The sequence below is a fragment of the Homo sapiens genome, chromosome 6 (assembly GCF_000001405.40).
Source record: "Homo sapiens chromosome 6, GRCh38.p14 Primary Assembly".
Lineage (NCBI taxonomy): Eukaryota > Metazoa > Chordata > Mammalia > Primates > Hominidae > Homo > Homo sapiens.
The window spans coordinates 110,670,978-110,695,503 of record NC_000006.12 but is presented as its reverse complement, the minus strand read 5'-3'; the positions used below and the strand labels follow the sequence as shown (position 1 = coordinate 110,695,503).

Sequence of the window (24,526 nt, the reverse complement as noted above, 5' to 3'; positions counted from 1 at the left end):
TCTAATCTTTATTTGTTTTCTTCTGCTAACTTTGGGTTTAGTTTGTCCTTGTTTCTCTAGCTCCTTGAGGTGTGACTTTAGGTTGTCAGTTTGTGATTTTTTCAGACATTTTTAGGCATTTAATGCTATGAATGTCCCTTTTAGCAGTGCTTTTTCTGTATCCCAGAGGTTTTGCTAGGTTGTGTCACTATTATCGTTCAGTTGAAAGAATTTTTAAATTTTCATCTTGATTTCATTGTTGACCCAAAGGTCATTCAGGAGCAGATTATTTAATTTCCATGTATTTGTATAGTTTTGAGGCTTCCTTTTGGAATTAATTTCCAATTTCCTTTCTCCTTTCCTTTCTTCTTTCCTTTCCCCTTTCCCCTTTCCCCTTTACCCTTTCTCCTTTCCTTGTCCTACTCTCTGGCTCAGACTGGAGTGCAGTGGCGCCATCTCAGTTCACTGCAACCTCTGTGTCCTGGGTTAAAGTGATTCTTCTGCCTCAGCCTCCTGAGTAGCTAAGATTACAGGCACCTGCCACCATGCTTGGCTAATTTTTCTATTTTTAGTAGAGATGGGGTTTTGCCATGTTGGCCAGGCTAGTCTCGAACTCTTCACCTCAGGTGATCTGCCTGCCTTGGCCTCCCAAAGTGCTGGGATTACAGCCATAAGCCACCATGCCCAGCCAATTTCCAATTTTATTTTACCATGTTCTGAGAGAGTGCTTGATATAATTTCGATTTCCTTAAATTTACTGACACTTTTTTGGGGCCTATCATATGGTCTGTCTTGGAGAATGTTCCATGTGCTAATGAAAAGAACGTATTCTCCGCAGTTGTTGGGTAGAATGTTCTGTAAATATCTGTTAAGTCCATTTGTTCTAGGGTATAGTTAAAGTCCCTTGTTTCTTTGTTGACTTTCTGTCTTGTCTAGTGCTGTCAGTGGAGTATTGAGGTCCCCCACTATTACTGTGTTGCCATCTATCTCATTTCTTAGGTCTAGTAGTAATTTTATAAATTTGGGAGCTCCAGTGTTAGGTGCATATATCTTTAGGATTGTGATACTTTTCTGTTGGACCGATCCTTTTATCATTATATAATGTCCGTCTTTGTCTTTTTAAACTGTTGTTGCTTTAAAGTCTGTGTTGTCTGATATAAGAATAGCTATTCCTGCTGGCTTCTAGTTTCCTTTTGCATGGAAACATAGTTTCCTTTTGCATATCTTTTTCTACTGCTTTACTTTAAGCTTATGTGAGGCCTTATGTGTTAGGTGAGTCTCTTGAAGACAGCAGATACTTGGTTGGTGGGTTTTTATGCATTCTGTCATCCTGTATCTTTCAAGTGGAGCATTTCAGCCATTTACATTCAACATTAGTATGGAGATGTGAGTTACTGTTCCATTCATCATGCTAGTTGTTGCCTGAACACCTTGTTTTTTTTTTTTTTTTCATTGTGTTATTGTTTTGTAGGCCCTGTGAGATTTATGCTATGAGGAGGTTCTATTTTGGTGTATTTTGAGGTTTTTGTTTCAAGATTTAGAACTCCTATTAGCATTTATTGTAGTGCTTGCTTGGTAGTGGCGAATTCACTCAGCAATTGCTTGTTTGAAAAATACTTTATCTCCCCTTCATTTATGGATAAATATTCAGGTTTCTCAGGCTATGGGTGGGGCCATTGAGCTCCCAAGCATTTATGTCTTTTGTCTTCAGCTACTTGGGCAGGTAGAGAAAAACCATCAGGTAGGGGCAGGGTTAGGTGGGTCTGAGCTCAGGGCAGGACTTGCTGTGGCCAGTATGGGGGATGGGGTGGTTCTTAAGCCAATGGGATTATGTTCCAAGGGGAATTATGGCTGCCTCTGTTGTGTCATTCAGGTCACCAGGGAAGTAGGGGAAAGCCAGCAATGACAGGCTTCACCTAGCTCCCACACAGCCAGCAAGGCCAACCTCATTCCTGTTGTGCCCCACTAACAGCACCAAGTTTATATCCAGGCAGCCAGCCTATAGGGCTGCACTCTCACCCCAGGGCATAACTCCACTGAGAAAGCAAGCAGGGCTTTCCAGCCTTGCCCCTTCCCACCTGCCGGAGACCGGGAGTGCCTGCAGGGCTCTTTCCACTGCTTCTTCTACTTTTATATTTTGCTTAGCTCACTAAATCCAGTTCGGCTCTAGGTAAAGCTAAATCCTTCTCCCATGATCTGGATTTTCAGGTTCCCCAGTGAGGATATGTGTTTGGAGGCAGACTTTTCCCTCTCTCACACTTTTGGAACTGCAGTGGCCAGCTGCTTCTTTCAAAGGGTCTGTGAATTCTTTCAGTTTTCCTGGTACGCTCCTGCAGTGAGTGGTTCTTGGAGCAAAAGTTCACGGTGTGAGTCTCCACACGCTGTTCTGTCTGTCCAAGTGGGAGTTCCACATTAGTCCTGTCTCCTATCCGTCAGATTTTAACGCTTTTGCTCACTTTTGCTTTACATTTGTGTGGAATATCTTTTTTCACCCCTTTACCTTGGGTTTATTATTATTATTATTTTTTGAGATGGAGTCTTGCTTTGTTGCCCAGGCTGGAGTACAGTGGCGTGATCCTGGCTCATTGCAACGTCCTTCTCCCGGGTTCAAGTGATTCTCCTGCCTCAGCCTCCCAAGTAGCTGGGATTACAGGTGCCCACCAACATGTCTGGCTAATGTTTGTATTTTTAGTAGAGACAGGGTTTTGCCATGTTGGCCAGGCTGGTCTCAAACTCTTGACCTCAGGTGATCCACCCACTTTGGCCTCTCAAAGTGCTGGGATTACAGGCGTGAGCCACTGCGCCCAGTCTCATGTTAACTTTAGAGAGCCTGTTGACCGACTATATGCCTTTATGATGACCTTTTTGCAATGAATTTTCCAGGAGTTCTTTGTGCTTCTTATATTTGTATATCTAAATCTCTAGCCAAAGGCCAGGAAGTTTTCCTCAATTATTCCCTCAGGTAAGTTTTCCAAACTTTTTATTGTCTCTTCTCCCTCAGGAACACCAGTTATTTTTACCTTTGCCTATTTTACATAATCTCATATTTCTTGGAGACTTTGTTCATTTTTCAAATTCTTTTTTTTTTCCTTTTGTGATTGGGTTAGTTCAAAAGCCTTAGCTTCGAGCCTGAAATTCTTTCTTCTACTTGTTCTAGTCTATTGTTAAAACTTTCTACTACATTACATTTTGTAATTCTGTAAGAGTGTCTTTCTTTCTTTTTTTTTTTTTTGAGACGGAGTCTCACTCTGTCACCAGGCTGGAGTGCAGTGGCATGATCTCAGCTCACTGCAACCTCCACCTCCTGGGTTCAAGAGATTCTCCTGCCTCAGCCTCACTGGTACCTGGGACTACAGGCGCTCACCACCATGCCCAGCTAATTTTTGTATTTTTAGTAGAGACTGGGTTTCATCATATTGGCCAGGATGGTCTTGATCTCTTGACCTTGTGATCTGCCCGCCTTGGCCTCCCGAAGTGCTGGGATTACAGGCATGAGCCACCGCGCCCAGCCAGTGTGTCTTTCATTTCCAGAAGTTCTGATTGATTTTTCTTTCTTTTTTTTTTAAAATAGAGATGGGGGGCCGGGCACAGTGGCTCACGCCTGTAATCTGAGCATTTTGGGAGGCCGAGGCGGGTGGATCACAAGGTCAGGAGTTCAAGACCAGCCTGACCAACATGGTGAAACCCCGTCTCTACTAAAAATACAAAAATAAGCCCGGCATCGTGGCATGTGCCTGTAATCCCAGCTACTCAGGAGGCTGAGGCAGGAGAATCACTTGAACTCAGGAGGCGGAGGTTGCAATGAGCCAAGATCATGCCATTGTACTCCAACCTGGGCGACAGAGCGAGACTCCATCTCAAAATAAAAAGAAAAAATAATAATAATAAAATAAAATAAAATAAAATAGAGATGAGGTTTTCTCATGTTGTCCAGGTGGGTCTTAAACTCCTGAGGTCAGGTGAACCGGGAGCCTGCCTTGACCTCCCAAAGTTCTGGGATTACATGTGTAAGCCACTGCACCTGGCCTAGGTTTTCTTTCTTTTTTTTTTTGAGACGGAGTCTTGCACTGTCGCCCAGGCTGGGGTGCAATGGCATGATCTCAGCTCACTGCAACCTCCACCTCCTGGGTTCAAGCAATTCTCTTGCCTCAGCCTCCTGAGCAGCTGGAATTACAAGTGCCTGCCACCACACCCGGCTAATTTTTTGTATTTTTAGTAGAGACGGGTTTTCACTATGTTGGCCAGGCTGGTCTCGAACTCCTGACTTCACGATCTGCCCACCTTGGCCTCCCAGAGTGCTGGGATTACAGGTGTGAGCCACCCCATCTGGCCTCGGGTTTTCTTTAAGATGTCTATCTCTTAGAAAATTTTTCATTCATATCCTGGATTTTTTTTAAAAAATTTCTTCATGTTGGTTTTCACATTTCTCTGGAATCTCCTTGAGTGGCTTAATAATTAACCTTTTGGATTCTTTATCTGATATTTCGAATATTTCATCTTGGTTTGGATCCATTGCTGGAGGGCTAGTGTAATCTTTTGTGGATGTTGCTGAGCTCTGTTTTATCATATTACCAGAATTATTTTTCTGGTTCCTTGTCATTTGGGTAAACTATCTTTCCTAATTATTCTTGAATTTATTTTTTATTTGACTTTTTATAAAATTTCTTTTTCCCTTCCTTAAGGATGTGACTTTAATGTTTATAGTTTATTATAGCCTAATTTGGCTTTTGGTATTTTCAGGGGTGATGACTCTATATGAGTTCTGTCATTATAGAGAGTCTTTGATGACTGTCTCAGATGCTGGTTGTAGTAGCAATGTGCTCAGTGTGTGAGCAAATTCATTGTCTCCTATAGGGTTGGAATGGCAGTGGTCTCTTGAAGCTTATCTTATTCCTTTGTGGTGTGGACTTACTTATTTATTTTTTCCCCAGTATTTTATTTACTAGGGTGACTATTTTAAGCTTCAGGCCAGTAGGGGAGGTGTCCTTGGGTAGAAACCCATTGTGCTCAAGCAGTTGGGTAAATGCAATAGCCAATGATGGGCAGAAGTCACAGCCTTGTCAGAGGTGGCTGGGGAAGCTTTCAGTGGAATGCACTGAGGTCTTACGGGGGAAAGGTGGGAGCCATCTCAGCTCCCCTGCCAGGTCAGCAGGGAAGCTATCTATCTCCTAGACCCACTTCTGACCCAGTAGTCTGGCTATTTATCAGATGGGCGCTTCTTCATCTGCAGGAATGTTGATGTTCTGAGTAGAGAGGAGTTGTGACTCTACCTCTTATGCAAGCCTGAACCTGGCAGATACTCCTCCTGTGGGGATGCAGTCACCATGAAGAGTTCCAGAAAGGCTGTCTATAGGTGCACACATACTGAGCTCCTGTGGGGGAAGCCCTAACTGTCTGCAGTGTTGAACGAGGGGGAATAGAAGTCCCCTTCTCCAAGACCCTTCATGAGCACCAGGGCCACCTGACTGTTGGGGTAGAGCTGCAGACTTTCCCCACTGAGCCCAGCACTGCAACTATGCCTCTGCTGAAAGAAATTTACCACTAGTGGAAAGATCTGGGACTCAAAGCCTGCTGTCGCAATGATTTTGTCCCACGGGATGTTCCTTTGATATGGTGCACTTCCCCTTCCCCTAGGAGTAGGAGTCCCTGAGAGCCAGATTACTGTGAATGCTGTTGCTCCTGTGGGTCTAGCTGCCCAGTGGGGCTGCCACACTCCAGGCTGGTGCTGCAGAATGTCTGCAAAGAATCCAGTGATGTGACCTGTCCTCAAGTCTTTCAGCAGTGGGTACCAGCACCAAGTCTGATGAGGGTGGCCGGGGAGTGACGCAGACTCCGAGATTCCTTAGATATAGATAGCCTTAGTATGTTGGCTTTCTCAAATGCTGATTGTAATAGTAATGAACCTGTCATGTGGGCAGATTCAGGACCTCCTGGTTAGGCAGAGTGGTACAGGCAGTGGTGATGCACAAGTTTTTTCCTTCCTGGCCACAATGTCAATGTTATTCTACCTGGAGATGCTTTAATGGACTGTGTTGATTGGCCTCTAGCCAGGAAGTGACGCTTGCAAGAGAGCACCACCTGTGGTAGTAGTGGTGGGATTTTTACTTGCCTTGTGTTACCCAGGGGAGGTACTCTGATTTTTCAGGTGATGGGTGGGGCCGAAAAGCTCCCAGAAGTTTTTGTCTTTTGTGTTAAGCTACCAGGGTGGGTGGAGGGGCAAAGCCAGGTGGGGGCTCAGTCAGGTAGGTCTGTGCTCTGATTCCCTGCATGCAAGGAAAGCAGCGGCCTCTGTGGGAGTCAGGAGGTGGTTCTCTGGCCTCTGGGGTAATGTTCCAGAGAGGAACATAGCTGCCTCTGCTGCACAGAAGAGTTCATGCAGGGAGTGGGGAGTAGTATGCGGCAGTAAGCCCCACCCAGTTCCCATGCACTTGGCAAGGCAGATCTGACACCCACCGTATTCTGCTAGCAGCAATGAGCTAAGTTCAGGCTGTGTATGCTCAGAACTCAAAACTGCCCCAGGGTATAAGCCTTACCTGGAGATAGCAACTGCCCCTCCCAGTCTGCTGGCAAAGCCAGGGCACCCAGCTCCTGCACTCATGGCTGCAGCACACTTCCCACTCGTCGCCTAGTTCTGGCCAAGGGGGTTTGTCCCCACTTGAGGTTACATTGTGAAATTCAGTTGAGGGCTTCTTTCAACCTGCAGCCACTGCCTGAGTTAGCTGGCTGACTTCCACGAGGTCCCCTGTGAGGTAGAATGGCTTCCCTCAGTCTGCATTGGAGAATGCATGCAAGGCTCTTCCCACTGCTGCTCCTACCTTTCTATTCCTCACCACTCCCTAAATCAGCTCCTGTGCTGGGTGGGGTTAAGGCCCTTCTCTGTGGCCTGGATTTCCAGGTTCCCTGGTGGGGATGTATATCTTGGAGGCAGTCTTTCCCCTTCTCACACTCAGGAGACTTACAGTTTTTTGCCTGGTTCACGGTGTAGGCTGCAGCCTGACACTTCTTTCAAAGGGTCTGTGGATTTTTTCAGGTTTCCTAAGTTCCTGCGTTGCTTCTTGGAAAAAAGTTCCCAGAGTGAGTCTCTACACACTATTTTGTCTTTCCTAGTGGGAGAGGCATGCTAACACTGCCTCCAATCTGCCATCTTGGGAAAAAAAACTTCCCTGCATTTTATATATATATATATAGTTTTTTGTTTTTTTGGACATGGAGTCTTGCTCTGTTGCCCAGGCTGGAGTACAGTGGCACGACTCCGGCTCCCAGGTTCAGGTGATTCATGCCTGGCTAATTTTTTTATTTTTAGTAGAGATGAGGTTTCGCCATGTTAGCCAGGCTGGTCTCAGACTCCTGACCTCAAGTGATCTGCCCACCTTGGCCTCCCAAAGTGCTGGGATTACAGGCATGAGCCACCATGCCCGGCCTTCCCTGTGTATTTTATTTAAAAGAACCTTTCCCCGTTGTGGGTGTTTGTTTGAAGTGTATCGAAGTATGTGACCAGAACTTACACTGGAGAACATTTCAAAGAGGAGAGTGTATGTGAGATTTGACCCCTCCCTGCAAAAAATATGTACATAATTTATTTTCAAGCAGCTTTGAATAGACAGTAAATATCAAAGCTTAGAAATTCAAGGAAAGCTTACTTTCAGATTAATGTTGTCCTTAGGTGCACTGCAAAACACAAAATTATCGAAAGTTATGGTGTTACTTATTCTTCATTATTATAATTTAGTGATTTCTAGATTCTTTTTCTAGTCATTGTTTAACATTTACATAAAAGCCACACATGTAATAATATAGCTCTTTTAAAAAATTAAAGTTATCACTCTTAGTGGAAATACCATTTTTAGGATTTATTGATTAAAATTAGTAAATGCTTAGTATAAAAGAAATCATTTACTTCATTGTGGAAGCTCATCCCCCTCTGTGTTTTCTCATAACACGTACCCAGTTTTCTTAGCAGAGTGGGAAGGAAGTGGCATTTTTGTTTAATGGAAACAATACAGTAACTATTTCCTGGACTGTATTTGGGTCAGATCATTTAGCTGCTTTCCTTATTACTACTGTTAAAATTCCTGTGAGGTCTTCAGGAACTACAAATGGATAATTTGTCTGAGCCTTGACTTCACTGTGTTTATCTTCTCTAGAAGCATAGTGATCTAAAATACATTGAATCATTGGTACTGGTAATTTAGCCATTAATAATTAAAACCCTTGGCTGTAATTTGTTAAAGTTAGTACCATTTCTTGTGTCTGGGGTGGGGTGTCTGACCACTGATAATGCCCAATGTCCTGAAAAGTGGAACTTTCAACATGTGTTAGGTAAGTTCCATCAGAAAGCTGACCTCCTCCTCTCCCTTCAGATCCTCAGCCAGTGCCATCTGGGAGGTAGAGAAAGGTATGAATTCTAGGGGGCTTTACCTGATAGCTTGTTTAGTAAAAGCAGAAAATGCAAACTATATATTTTATTTTTAATTAATTAATTTTAAATGTAGATATGAGGTCTCACCCATGTTTCCCAGGCTGGTCTTGAATGCCTGGGCTCAAGCAATCCTCCTGCCTTGGCCTCCCAAAGTGCTGGGATTACAGGCACGAGCCACCGCACCTGGCCGAAACTATGTATTTTAGAAGTGTAAGTTATAAAGATATGGGTTAGGTATAAAACCAAATAGCCCAAGTTTGCACTGACATAAAACTAAGGTTTACTATGGCCACATAGGATAAAATTACACTTTATTATGCTTAATTAATCAAATGTCAATTTCAGATTATTTTTCAAACCTATGATTATTTCCTTGAGAAATCTAATTTTTTTGAATATTTTTGTAGGTGCTTGATAATGGCAGTTTTGAAAATAATATTTTCTCAATATGGAATAAATTTCATTTAACCAACGTGTTTGAAAACCAGTTCATGTACTGTTACTTTCATTTACTCATCTAAAATTTGTTGAGTCTCTACTTTGTTAGGTCCTGTGCTAGATGATTTTATTAATATTCATATGGAAAGATAAGAGATACACCCTATCATGTAGTGATGGAAATCTGCCATAGCAAATTTAGAATAAAGTAGGGATTTTATCTGATGTTTGCACCCAGAAGATGAATAGTTAAGGAGTTCTTTTAGCGTCTGTGTATTCATGATATAATGAAAATAACTGCCAGCACTCATTTCTGCTGATTAATGCTCAAATTCTCAATTTCCTCTTCTTTCCAATAAGGCACACTTCCTAAGGAGCATCTTTTCTGACTTTCGTGACTAGGTTAGGTTTCCTACATATGCACTCTGTATTTTTCCTTAATAGCCTCACCATAACTGTAATTTAAAAATTGTCCATTTTGTCTCCTCTTCAGTTCCTTTTAGGCTGTAAAGTCCCCAAGGCTCTCAGTGCCTCAAATATGCTTGGCACTCAAATGTTTTCTAATGGTAGATTTTTAGACTTTTTTTTCCCATTGCTATCTGCTGGGTATTTTCCATCATGCTTCTGCCTCATTCCCATGTCCCAGGGCAAGGCTTCATGGGACGTAATGGGCAGAATTCTGTGCAGTGACGACTTAGAAGCCAATTCATGATGATTGCATATGGAGCATCCTGAAGGTAAAGGCCATACATACGCCAATTATGATACTCCCTTTTGCAGGGGAAAGCCCACTTGTCCTTAACTTGATCTTAGTCACCTGCCATATTTTTGGTTAAAATCTTTACAGTATAGTTTTAGCTTGAGCCTCAGGTCCTCCAAAATAAATTATTTACAGGAAAAATAGTTTTAGCCTTTGGGGTGAATAGCTTTGAATGGTCTATTTAGGAGTTTTAACTTTGAAGCCATCTAAAATTTCGAAGTAGGAGAGTTAACAATTTATCAGACTTTTTATCTTAGGAAGATATTCTGATGTCAATACATAGAGTATATTAGAAGAGATAGGAGATGGATTATCACTTAGCCAACATTTGTTGAAAATCTACATGTGTTTGGCTTGTGCAAGACAATGGAAATGTATAGATGGAAGACACAGTCCCTGCATCTTACAATCAGTTAGGGGGAGACAATTATACTATGTCATAACTTTATTTAATTAGCAGTGTGTTAAGGGTAATTCAGTATGGATGGGAACATAGAAGAGACACTTCAGAAGAAGAGTTTCAGGGAAGGCCTCTTAGAAGAAGTGATAAATGAGTTCTTTCTAAAAAGTAAGTAGGCATTTATCAGGCAAAGAAGATAGGAAATATGTTTCTGTACCTTTCTAGGCAGAGAGAAGAGCACCTGTGTATATACTAGTTAAGGGTTTATTTTAATTATTAAGGTGAGAATTAATGAATGATATTTAAGAAGCAGAGTATGTAGCACTTGGTGAGTGAACACTGGTTATAAGGTTTTCTTTTCTTTTTTTTTGAGACAGAGTTTCGCTGTGTCGCCCAGGCTGGAATGCAGTGGCACAATCTTGGCTCACTGCAACCTCTGCCTCCTAGGTTCAAGAGATTCTCCTGCCTCAGCCTCTTGGGTAGCTGGGACTACAGGCACAAGCCACCATGCCTGGTAATTTTTGTATTTTTAGTAGAGATGGGGTTTCGCCATGTTGGCCAGCCTGGTCTCTAACTCCTGACCTCAGGTGATCCACCTGCCTCAGCCTCCCAAAGTGCTGGGATTACAGGTGTGAGCCACTGTGCCTGGCTGATGATAAGGTTTTCAGCCTGCCTTGATGATTGGGAAATGTTGGCATCATTGCAGGTATAGTAAACACACTAGGAGGTAAAGTTGGGCAAGTGATACTCAGTTTTGGATCTGTGGATTTTGAGTTACAGTGGGATATTCTCTTGGTTGTATTGTATGATGCATCTTGGGAAATTGATGTCAGTTTAGGAGTGACATTAGGGCTAGAGATTGAGATTTGGGATTCTCCATAGAAGGAGCAGCTAAAGCTCAGGTCCATGGGTAAGATGTTAAGAAAAACTGTGGAATGGAGAAGGACAAGAAAACTAGGGACAGAATTTGGAGAATAAGTCGATACTTTTTTCTTTTAAGCCAGAATCTAAATAAGGAATTTTAGGTTAGTTTCACCCACGTCCCCCACCCCTTATTCCCCACCCCCCACCCCACCATTCTATTTCAAGGAGAGAAAAGGATAAATAAGAAGGACATAAACATTTGTTAGTAGTTGATTATCGAAATCCCAAGGGACTGAAAGACTGCCTAGGGTCTTATAGCAATGCAAAATCAACAACAACAACAAAAATAAATAAAGAAGACTACATAGAGTCAAATGCAAATTTCATTTTGTTTAACTGTCAAGGTAGGAAGGTTTTTGACAAGGAGGGTTGCAAGCAAAAGTTTACTTAATGAATCAGTAAATGAGTTAGAATACCCCTCAGAATTCCAGGTAATTAAGATTTTACTTTGTAAACTCTTTGTTTTAGTTTGTATCTGTTTCATTTTTCATATTTAAATTGTGTATATTCAGAGTGCCCTTGATTTATAAGAAGTATATCCAATTTTCTCATGGGATATGTTAATAAAAGATTAAGGCTGGGCATGGTGGCTCATGCCTGTATTCTCGGCACTTTGGGAGGCTGAGGCAGGTGGATCACCTGAGGTCAGGAATTTGAGACTAGCCTGGCCAAGGTGAAACCCCATCTCCACTAAAAAAAAAAAAAATACAAAAAATGAGCTAGACATGGTGGCATGTGTCTGTGATCCCAGCTACTCGGGAGGCTGAGGCAGGAGAATCACTTCAACCCGGGAAGTGGAGGTTGCAGTGAGCTGAGATCACGCCACTGTACTCCAGCCTGGCAACAGAGTGAGACTCTGTCTCCAAAAAAAAAAAAAAAAAAGATTAAATACTTATACTAAAAAAGAATAGGTATGCTCTCATAGTCAAGGAGATGTGAATTTCTTATTTATCGCAAAGCTTACTTGGTTTCAGATATCTCTCTTAGACCAAGTACATGCAGAATTTAAAAGTCAGAGAGAAAATGAAACCAGATTGTTGAAAAATGGGAAAGGAAATAACTTTCATATAGCCATTTTATTATTATAGAAACTACTAAGTGGGTGTTTCATGGACTTTGGCAAGGAAATGCTGTGGCATTTTCCAACTCAGCCTCACTCTCTAAGTATCTCTGATGTCAAAGCTAACCGGAGTGGTTAGCATTGAAATTTTCACTTAAGTACAACAATGACAACAGCCACTGTTTATCAAGAACAATGCCAGGCATTCTACCTGGATTATCCGATTTACTCTTCATAACATTCTTGCAAATAGTGGTGGTTAAAAATGATAATAAAAGCTATAATTTGTCAAATGCTTAATTCGTTCCAAGCATCGTGCTATGTACTTTTTTTTTTTTTTTTTTTTTTTGGAGACAGTCTTGCTCTGTTGCCCAGGCTGGAGTGCAGTGGCACCATCTTGACTCACTGCAACCTCCGCCTCCTGGGTTCAAGTGATTCTCCTGCCTCAGCCTCCCGAGTAGCTGGGACTACAGGCGCCCACCACCATGCCTGGCTAATTTTTGTATTTTTAGTAGAGATTGGGTTTCACCATATTGGCCAGGCTGGTCTCGAACTCCTGACCTCAGGTGATCCACCTGCCTTGGCCTCCCAGAGTGCCAGGATTAGAGGTGTGAGCCACCGTGCCTGGCCCACTGTGCTGTGTATTTAATCTATTTATATTAATTTATTCTTTGTGGAAACTGTTTATGTTTGTAAGTAGACATCTTATTCTTCTATGAGATTCAGAAGAGTTAAGCAACTTGCCTTATGTCTTAACTGCTGCTAGTAAGACAGGATTCAAACTCAGCCTCTGATTCTAAAACCTATATTTTTTGCATTTTACTTACTGCCTCACTGTCATTTCAACTGGGTGGCAAAGGGGAACATTGACCTCCCTGGAGCTTATGACTGGTAACCAGGAAGTGTCACTGAAGTAAAATGAAGCAGAAGATTTAGGGCCACCTTGAACCAGAGCTGTGTTAGTCTGTACAGACCCCTTTTCAGAGTATGAGTGCCACCTGCTGGAAGGTTATGATGAATCTCATGTGTTTATAAAGAGCAGCTTCCAAAAGGCCTGTCGTAGGTGTGAAAGTGTCAACTTTCAAATACTAATTCTTAATTTACAGTTTTAGGAGTATTGGAACATTTTGGAATTAGGCAAATCTCCTATTTGCCATAAAACACCCTACTTCATTTACCTTCAGTTCTTTGGGAAGGGGAAAGAGGTGTTAAGACATTTTAAAAAATGATACTCAGTGCTTTCTAAAATAAAGTCGGTGATACTGTTCTCACTGAGGGGAAAGATTGATGGTCAAATGAATCACACTGTTACTTAAAAGAGATCAAAAAAGAATAGAAAATTGGATTTACTTTGAGATAAGTGAGTAATTGAAGTATAAGAGGATCTTTCCATTCAGAATGCCCTTGAAAAAGGAGTCAGGGACCCATGAGGGCATCATAGACTTGGAGAACAGAAAGTGAAAAGGGAAGAAAGATGTATACATAAAAATACGAATGGATTCTGGAATTTTTAGTCTAGTACAGACTCTCTAAATTGAGTCAGGATCTAGAGAAAGTTTAGAATTCTAACTGTAGATTATTTTACATTTAGGACAGTGAAAAGTGGACACTTTAAAAATAGCTACTTACATGCTTTGAAAGGAGCTCAGATAAAATATTGGCATGTTCATTGAACATTCTTCATTAGGCTCCAGTGGGATCATGTTACTATGCTGTGAGTATCTGGCATGGAAGATGTTATCATATAATATGAGACACAGGAAAATAATGGTCTACTTAATTGCTGTTTAAGTATGATTACACGTATTTGTAGTTGTATGATGTCATGTTGAACAAACATTTGTTAGACAAGAGATTAAAGTCCGTTGGTAAAATCTGATTTTGCCAAGAGATGGGGAAAGTACAAGTATGGCCATCTCCTTTCACTGTGTCCCTTCTCAGATAACCATGTAAAAAGAAGCTGAGATAGTATGATAGTGTCTTATTTTGGTAGGTGGATTTCTGGAAAGTTCTGTCTTCTGGTGTGTGTATGTATTTGTTTTTAAATTATAAGAGTAATGCTCATTGAAGAAAACTTGTAAAATAGAAAAAATAGAAATATAAATTATGCATAATCTCACACCCAGAAATAACTATTGTTAATGTTTTGGCATATTTCTGTTTGTTTTTTGTTTTTTTGAGACAGAGTCTCACTCTGGTGCCCAGGCTGAAGTGCAGTGGTGCGATCTTGGCTCACTGCAACCTCTGTCTCCCGGGTTCAAGCGATTGTCCTGCCTTAGTCTCTCGAGTAGCTGGGACTACAGGCATGCGGTACCACGCTCGGCTGATTTTTGTATTTTTAGTAGAGACGGGGTTTCATCGTGTTGGCCAGGCCAGTCGTGAACTCCTGATCTCAAGACATCAAGTGATCTGCCTGCTTCGGCCTCCCAGACTGCTGGCATTACAGGTGTGAGCCACCACGCCCAGCCCATTTTCTGTTATTTATATCTCTTTATATTTTATTTTATTTTATTTATTTATTTATTTTGAGACAGAGTCTCACTCTGTTGCCCAGGCTGGAGTGCAGTGGGACGATCTCTGCTCACTGCAACTTCTGCTTCCCAGGTTCAAGTGATTCTCCTGCCTCAGCCTCCTGAGTAGCTGGGATTACAGGCATATACCACCACACGTGGCTAATTTTTGTATTTTTAGTAGGGACGGGGTTTTGCCATGTTGTCCAGGCTGGCCTCGAACTCCTGGCTTCAAGTGATCTGTCCACCTCGGCCTCCCAAAGTGCTGGGATAACAGGTGTGAGCCACTGCACCCAGCCTGTGGTCCTTTTACATTATATCACAACGTTATAGTCTTTCCTCGAGTAATTAAAATATTTTAGTATATATATTTGAGGCTACAATATGTGGCTATTTACCATAATTTACTTATCAGTTTTCTTATTATTGAACATTTAGGTTGTTTACTGTTGTTGTTCATTTGTTTCTTTCAGTAAACAACAGTAGGAAAGTTAACTTCTTTGTTTTTTTCAGTAAACAGAGGTAGTGAATACACTCTTGTGTGATGTTTATCTAGAGCCTAGCATTTTCTTAGTAAACTGGCCTTGGACATAACTACTAATAAGGTTAATATCTGCTTCACTTGTGTTCCCCTGTGTCCCCTGTTCCTTTGTGTTATTTTCTTTAGGATTTTGTAGCACTTATTGTGCTCACAGCCCTTTCAGGAAATACCCTCATAGCACTCCTTTGCTCTTCGAATTATACACCAGGTTAAAGATCCCATCCTGAGATATTCAGAGCTGTGTTGCTGCTCTTTACCTCAAGCCAGCACTCTTATTCTTCTGGTAGAGTAGGTGCTAATTTAAAGAAGTCTTCCTTTTTAAGCCTAAAGTAAATGGAGCTTGTGGAGGCTTAGCGTCCCTGGAATAATTATTTTAGATATTGTCTATTCAATTTGTTGAAAACAAAATCATTTAAAACACCTTTTGAAAAAGAATAACTTATGAAAGGGTAGCAAAGTTTTATTAGGTTACAGGCCATTACTGGTTATTTTGTGAGTAAGAACCGGTTGAGTAGATTTAATTTATTTGACAAATATTTATTGAATGCTTATTATGTGCTAGGTACCATTTTATGCATTGGAGATATAAAGTCAACAAATACCTTTGCCTTCATGGAGCTTATATGTTAGTGGAGAGAGACAGACAATAAATAACATATAAACAGTTTCATGTCCATTTAATAGCTTCATGTCAGACAATAAACAGCTTCTTGTCAGTTTAAGTGACATATTTCTGTACAATGAGTATTAAATGATTGTTTTCAAAAAAGGTAAAATTATGACTGTTATACAGGTATAAGATGAACACATTTTAATGATTTTATTTAACTTTCTTTTTTTAAAAAAATTTTTTATGTTTTTAGAGACAGTTTTGCTCTTGTTGCTCAGGCTGGAGTGCAATGGTGTGATCTTGGCTCACTGCAACCTCCGCCTCCCAGGTTCAAGGGATTCTCCTGCCTCGGCCTCCTGAGTAGCTAGGATTATAGGCACCCACCACCACGCCTGGCTAATTTTTGTATTTTAGTAGAGATGGTGTTTCACCATGTTGGCCAGTCTGGTCTCAAACTCCTGACCTCAGGTGATCTGCCCTCTTTGGCCTCCCCAAGTGCTGGGATTACAGGCATGAGCCACTGTACCTGGACTTTTTTTTTTTTTTAGAGACAGGGTCTCACTCTGTCACCCAGGCTGGAGGGCAGTGGTACGATCATAACTCACTGCAGCCTTGAACTCGTGGGCTCAAGCAGTCCTCGTACCTCAGCCTCCCTAGTAGCTGGGACTACAGGCCTGCACCACCATGCCTGGATAATTTAATTTAATTTATTTTTTTGTAGAGATAGGGCTCTTGCTGTGTGACCAGACTAGTCTCAAACTCCTGGCCTTGAGTGGTCCTCCTGCCTTGGCCTCCCAAAGTGCTGGAATTACAAGTGTGAGCCACTACATCCAGCTTATTTAACTTTTTGAATGAAGGAACCAAGCTGGTATTATAGCCCATTCAAAGGAGAAACTTTAAAACAGGTACGTGTACAGATCAGGAATATTGAAATGGATATGCAAATTGAGGCAAAACCAGCTTCTTCCACTATTGGGGAGGGAAGTCAGTGAACCTCTACCGGACAGCACATAATTTGTATGCTTATAGTTGAGAATTATTCTGCATCGTTATCAGTTATGTGTAATGTACAGAGTTGTAAAATAGCTTCTCTAGAATCAGAATCAGGTAACTGAAAGGATGTGCCCCTAACAATGCATTTTTTTCTATTGAATTACAAATAATTTTTCTACCTGAGTTACTAGAAAGCTTTTGATTTTCTACAGTTTCTTTAGAATTGTAGATAAGGGATATAGAGTTATGGTATGTTTGAAAGTGTTAGTACTTGCAGAAAGATAAAGTGCAGAATGGTGGTTGCGATTTTAAATAGAAAGGCTAGGGAAGACTCACTGAGGAGGAGATATTTGGGAAAAGAGTTAAAGTAGATGAGGTTTTTGCCTGAATAACTGCAATGATGGAGTTGCTATTAACTGAGGCGAGGGAAGAGCAGTGGGAATAGAGGTACTGGAGGTACTGGAATAGAGGGTAGTGGAGGTAGAGAGCGCAACCTCAGTTTTGGCTTTTAGACATTCAAATGGAGCTCTTGAGGCAGCTGGATACACATAGCTGGTGTTCAGGGGAGATGGGTGGACTAGAGGTAAACATTTGGGAGTTAATGCATATGGGTGACATTTAAAGCCCGCAGACTAGATGAGATCACTTAAAGAGCTCTTTCAATGTGTCAGGCATTGTGCTAGTCCCTAGGAATATAGAAATAAATTTTAAAATGTCTTTCTGGGCTAGTGTGGTGGCTCACACCTGGAATCCTAACATGTTGGGAGGCCGAGGCAGGAGGATCACTTGAAGCCAGAAGCTCAAGACTAGCCTGGACAACAAAGTGATACCCCATTTCTACAAAAAAATAAAAAAATCAGCTGGGCATGGTGGCTCACAGCTGTAGTCTCAGCTACTGAAGCTAAGGCAGGAGGATGGCTTGAGCCCAGGAGTTTGAGGCTGCAGTGAGCTATGATCGTGCCACTGTACTCCAGCCTAGGAGACAAAGTGAGATCTTGTCTCAAAATAAATAAGTTAGTAAGTAAAAATTGTATTTGTCTTCAAGAACCTTATGGTCTAATGCAGGAGGAGGGCAGGGGAGAGATGCAAACAGTTAAAACATTGAAAGATACTCTAATATAATTCAGTGAGGCCAAATCTGAGAGTCATAAAACATGTACAGAAGGTAATCAAAGGGTGGTACCTTTTCTAACAGCTGGCTTCTCCACTGACCCATTTACCCTACCATGTTGCCAGTGATACTAGAGAACCTCAATGGTGACACTTCTTCTTCTTCTTCCTTTTTTTTTTTTTTTTTTTATGTTGAGATGGGGTCTCTCTCTGCTTCCCAGGCTGGAGTGCAGTGGCGCGATCTCGGCTCACTGCAAGCTCCGCCTCCCAGGTTCATGCCATTCTCCTGCCTCAGCCTCTGGAGTAGCTGGGACTACAGGTGCCCACCACCACGCCCAGCTAATTTTTTTTTGTATTTTTAATAGAGACGGGGTTTCACCATGTTAGCCAGAATGGTCTCGATCTCCTGACCTCGTGATCCACCCGCCTTGGCCTCCCAAAGTGCTGGGATTACAGGCATGAGCCACCGCGCCCTGCCAATGGTGACACTTCTGCATGGCTTACAAGGCTCCTTTTATATGGTCTTTGCCTCATCTCTTGCTTTGATTCCTTAGACCTGTTCATAGTGACAGATGATCAGTTAAGGATTTTTGAAATATCACTCCTGGCTGCAGAGTGAAAGGTGAATTAGAAGAAGTAACAAAATAGATATAGGTAACATTAGTTTGCTATTTCTTTGCCTCAGTCGGCCTTCATGTTGATATTTAGTGACTTATAGAAACCCATAGGGTAGAAAAAGCATAAGAGGTACACAGAAATAGAAAGTGCATATTGACGCTCTAGAAAATGCAAATTTGGGGATTAGGGAAGAATTTCTAGTAAATGCATGTAGTTATAAACTTTACACTCTTCCCTCTTACACAGGCAGACTTTAGAGATATTGCAAGTTTGGTTCCAGACCACTGCAGTAAAGCAAATATTGTAATAAAGCAAGTCACTCAAAGTTTTTGGTTTCCCAGTGAAGTCATATTTATTATACTATAGTTTACAGTATAAATATACACTGCTATAAGTGTCCAGTAGCATTATGTATAAAAATGTATATATCTTAATTAAAAAATACATTATTGCTAAAAGGTGCTAATGATTATCTAAGCCTTCAGTGAGTCATAATCTTTTTGCTGGTGGATGGTCTTGCCTCAGTATTGATGGCTGCTAACTGATTAGAGTGGTGGTTACTGAAGGCTGGGGTGGCAATTTCTTAAAGTAAGACAATAATACAGTTTGCTGCATCAATGAACTCTTCCTTTCTTGAAAGATTTCTCTGTAACATGCAATGCTATTTGATAGCATTTTACCCATATTAGAACTTCTTTCAAAATTTGAGTCAGTCCTCTCAAACCCTGCCACTACTTTACCAACTAAGTTTATGTAATATTCCAAATTATTTGTTGTTACTTCAGTGGTGTTTACAGCATCTTCACCAGGAGTAGATTCCATCTTAGGAAATCACTTTCTTTGCCCATCCATAAGAAGCAACTCCTTATCCAAACCTGTTTGATCATGAGATGGCAGAAATTCAGTTAATCCTCAAGCTCTACTTCTAATTGTTGTTCTCTTGTTATTGCTACCACATCTCATTTACTTCCTCCACTGATACCTTGAACTCCTCAAAATTATCCATGAGGGTTGGAATCAACTTTTTCCACATTCCTGTTAATGTTGATGCCTTGACCTCCTTGAAGGAATCATGAATGTTTTTAATGGCATCTAGAATGGTGAATCCTCTCTACAAGGTTTTCAATTTACTTTGCCCAGATCCATCCGAGAAATCACAATCTATGGCAGCTATAGCTTCATGAAATGTATTTGTTAAAGAATAAGACTTGGAAGTCAAAATGACTTCTTGATTCACGGGCTGCAGAATGGATGTTGTGTTAGCAAACAGGAAAGCAGCATTAATCTCCTTGTACATCTCAATCAGAGCTTTTGGGTGACCAGGTGCATTGTTAATGAGCAGTAATCTTTTGAAAGGAATCTTTTTTCTAGGTAGTCAGTCCGAATAGTGGGCTTAAAATGTTCGGTAAGCCATGCTGTCAACAGATGCACTGTCATCTAGGCTTTGTTGTTACATTTATGGAGCACAGGTAGAGTAGATTTAGCATAATTCTTTTTTTTTTTTTTTTTTTTTTGAGATGGAGTCTCATTCTTGTTGCCCAGGCTGGAGTGCAATGGCACGATCTTGGCTCACCACAACTTCCGCCTCCCAGGTTCAAGTGATTCTCCTGCCTCAGCCTCCTGAGTAGCTGGGATTACAGGCATGCGCCACCACACCCGGCTAGTTTTGTATTTTTCGTAGAGGCAGGATTTCTCCATGTTGGTCAGGCTGGTCTCGAACTCCCGACCTCAGGTGATTCACCTGCCTCGGCCTCTCAAAGTGCTGGGATTACAGGCGTGAGCCACTGTACCCGGCCATTTAGCATAATTCTTAAGGGTCCTAGGATTTTCAGAATGGTAAATGAGCATTGGCTTCAACTTCAAATCACCAGTTGCGTTAAACCCTAGTAAGATAGTCAGCCTGTCCTTTGAAGCTTTGAAACCAGGCGTTGACTTCTCTCTAGCTATGAAAGTCCTACACGGAATCTGTTTCCAATAGAATTCTCTTTTGTCTACATTGAACATCTGTTGTTTAGTGTAGCCATCTTCATCAATGATCTTAGCTAGATCTTTTGGATAACTTGCTGTATCACCTTGCACTTTTATGTTATAGAGGTGACTTCTCTCCTTAAGCCTCATGAACCAACCTCTGTTAGCTTCAGCCTTTTCTTCTGCAGCTTCCCCACCTCTCTCAGCCTTCACACATTGAAGAGAATTAGGGCCTTGTTCTGGATTAGGCTTTGTCTTTTTTTTTTTTTTTTGAGACAGAGTCTCGCTGTGTCGCCCGGGCTGGAGTACATTGGCATAATCTCAGCTCACTGCAACCTCTGCCTCCTGGGTTCAAGTGATTCTCCTGCCTCAGCCTCTCGAGTAGCTAGCATTACAGGTACCTGCCACTACGCCCAGCTAATTTTTTCTATTTTTAGTAGAGACGGGGTTTCACCATGTTGGTCGGGCTGGTCTTGAACTCCTGACCTCGTGATCCACCTACTTTGGCCTCCCAAAGTGCTGGGATTATAGGCGTGAGCCACCTCGCCCAGCCAGCTTTGTCTTAAGGTAATGTTGCAGCTAGTTTAATCTTCTATCCAGATCACTAAAACTTTCTCCCTATCCACAATAAGGCTGTTTTGCTTTCTTATCTTTGTGTGTTCAACAGAGTAGAACTTTTAATTTCCTTCAAGAACTTTTTCTTTGCATTCACAACTTGGCTAACTGGTGCAAGAGGCCTAGCTTTCAGCCTGTTTGAACTTTCAGTGTGCCTTCCTCAGTAAGCTCAATCATTCTAGCTTTTGATTTAAAGCAAGAGATATGTGAGATTCTTCCTTTCACTTGAACAGTTGGAGGCCATTGTAGTTTTATTAGTTGGCCTGATTTCAATATTACTGTTTCTCAGACAATAGAGAGGCCCGAAGAGAGGGAGAAAGATGGGGGAACAGCTGGTGGGTGAGGCAATCAGAATACACACAACATTTATAGATTAAGTTTGCCATCTTATGTGGGTGCAATTTGTGATGCTTCAAAACAATTACAATAGTAACATGAAAGATCACTGATCACTGTAACAGATATAATACTGAAAAAGTTTTAAATGTTGTAAGAATTACCAAAATGTGACACAGAGACATTAAGTGAGCTTCATGCTGTTGGAAAAATGGTGCCAGTAGACTTGGTTGATGCAGGGTTGCCACAAACCTTCTACTTGGGAAAAACACAGTATCTGTGAAGCAACGAAGTAACTATCTGTATGACATATGGAAAGGAGACCTAGGCCAGGCACAGTGGTTTACACCTTGTAATCCCAGCACTTTGGGAGGCTGAAGTGGGAGGATTGCTTAAGGCCAGGAGTTCGAGACCACATTAAAAGAGGTGATCTAGAAATACCATGCTACTGTAAAAAAGAACAAGAAATATTATTTTTATTTTTTTCTTTAAAAAAATTTTTCTTTTATACCAAATCACTTCTCACCTGAAGGAAGTATTTCTAATATTGATATTGTCCTAATATTAATGGCAAACTTAATCTATAAATGTTGTGTGTATTCTGATTGCCTCACCCACCAGCTGTTCCACCAGCCTGGACAACGTAGTGAGACTCTATCTCTACAAAAAAAGTTTTTTTTTTTTTACAAAAATGACCTATATGGTGGTTCCTCAAAAAATTAAACATAGAGTTACCATAGGATCTAGCAATTTCACTTCTGGGTATATATACAAAGGAATTGAAAGTGGGGATTCAAATAGTTATTTATACACCAATATATAGAGAACATTATTCATAATAACCAAAAGGTAGAACACCCTAAATGTCTGTTGAGGGGCAAATGGACAAACGAAATATGGTCTATACATACGATGTAATAGTATTCAGCTTTAAATAGGAATGAAATTCTCATACATGCTACAACACAAATGAACCTTGAAGACATTATATTGTGTGAAAAAAAGGCAGACACAAGTGGGCAGACACTGTATGGTTCCACTTATATGAGCTACATACCAAGAACAGTCAAATTCATAGAGACATAAATTAGATAATGGTTATCAGGAGCTGGGGGTAGGGGGCAACCTGGAGATATTATTTAATGGTATAGATTTTCATTTTGGGATGAAAAAGTTCTGGAAATACACAGTGATGATGGTTGTACTTAATCCCATTGAACTAGTATAAGTAGTGGGATTAAGTAAATATACTAAGTATATCTAGTATACTTAAAAATGGTTGAAATGGTAAATTTTACATTATGTATATATTTTACCACATTAAAAGAGGTGATCTAGAAATACCATGCTACTGTAAAAAAGAACAAGAAATATTATTTTTATTTTTTTCTTTAAAAAAATTTTTCTTTTATGCCAAATCACTTCTCACCTGAAGGAAGTATTTCTAATATTGATATTGTCCTAATATTAAGAGATTTCCAAGATAGAGTAAGGGTAAGAAAACAAACAAAGTGCAGAACAGTGTGTATATTATGCTATCTTTTGTGTAAACAATGGAGGATAAAATATATATTCATATTTGTTTTTATTTGCATTAAGAAACATTGCAAGGAAAATAAGCAATTAATAAAAGTTGTTACCTCCAGGGAAGCAAGAGGAGTGGTAGTGAGACATTTCAATATATAACCTTGTATATACTTTGATTTTTGAACCATATGAATGTATTATCTAGTCAAAACAAATTTTTTAACACAGGACTTAAAATGAATTTATTCTAGTGGGATCAACAATTGGAAGTCACAGAAAATGTAGTTTTTTAGAAGTGTTGATTAAATATTGCTACTGTGACAACCACTTTCCCAGACAAGTGAGGTCCAGGAATCAGGGATCTGTGCCAGTGTTGGGTGTTTCAAGAGCCTGGTTTAGATGCGGAAGTGGAGTTCTACTTTCCCATCTACTTCAGGCTGCAAAGAGAACATATTTTGCATAGGTAATAAAGGCAAACTCTCTACGTTCATCAATATCAAGGAGTCAGAAAGAAGGAGACAGTCATTGTGCCTGGGGTGAAGTCTCTTGCCACAGTGTAAGTGCTTCAAGGCTGGCCATAGCAATGGGGTCATTAAAAACAGGGTTTGCCAGAGCCAGAGATCCTGAAGTGTTCAAAATGGCAAACTCTCTAGATTTTGGGAGGCCAAGGTGGGCAGATCACTTGAGGTCAGCAGTTTGAGACCAGCCTGGCCAACATGGTAAAACCCTATCTCTACTAAAAATACAAAAATTAGCCGGGCATGGTGGTGCGTACCTGTAATCCCAGCTACTCAGGAGGTTGAGGCAGGAGAATTGCTTGAACCTTGGAGGCGGAGGTTGCAGTGAGCTGAGATTGTGCCATTGCATTCCAGCCTGGGCAACAGAGCAAGACACTGTCTAAAAAAAAAAAGTTACTAAAGTTATTAGAATGGGTAAGCAGTTTATTTTTCTCTGCCTCATTGATCTATTTATATGTCTGTCTTCCTTACCACATTGTGGGAATTGAAGACATGAACTTTAGCTGTAGTGGAAAAAGCATGGACTTTGCAATCAGGCAGATCTATTTAAGTCCAAACCCCTTCTCTTTCTAGCTATTTGACTTTGGTCATGTTATTTTTATCACACTGAGCCTTGGGTTCTGTGTGCATCATAAAATTGTTCTAAAGATTAAGTGAGAGAAAAACATTTGTATATAATCATCTTGCACATATAAAATATTCAAGGGAAGTTTTGTCTTTCCCTTTTTGCATCTTTCACAGAGCTTTACATTTAAAAGGTATTCAAAATATTTATTAAATTGAATATGTTTCTCTTTACCTGTGAAATCTGAACCCTGTTTAAGGACAGCCTGAGGGAGGCATATTTCTAAGGCTTTTACCTTGAGCAATAATGTCATTGTTGCTAAATATTTTATCAAACAGCTGTCTGTTATGCGCAAAGTGCTGTTTCTGCTTGCTGCTCTGGTCTATCTTTCCTACATATCGTCAGAGTCCAGCTTAAAGCTTTTACTTTGTGAAGTCCTATTTCTTTTTTTCTGTTTACAGGACCTGTTCTCAACTTCAGTTTTTATAAGTGGGCATGACAGTCATTCCCTTATACTCACTACTCTTCAAAAAAAAACCCTCAACCACATACTCTAGGGATGGATAAGTACAGGGATTGTTAAATATCTTTCCTTGTTTTGTCGCCTGTTTCTTGAGCACCAATACAGTGCTAGG

The 24,526-nt window shown here is 40.8% G+C and overlaps 1 protein-coding gene across 15 annotated transcripts in view; it reads left to right on the top strand.

Annotated features, from left to right (window-relative positions):
* Positions 1-24,526, top strand: part of CDK19 (cyclin dependent kinase 19) — a 205,878-nt gene that overhangs the window by 120,352 nt on the left and 61,000 nt on the right. The window lies entirely within an intron of this gene.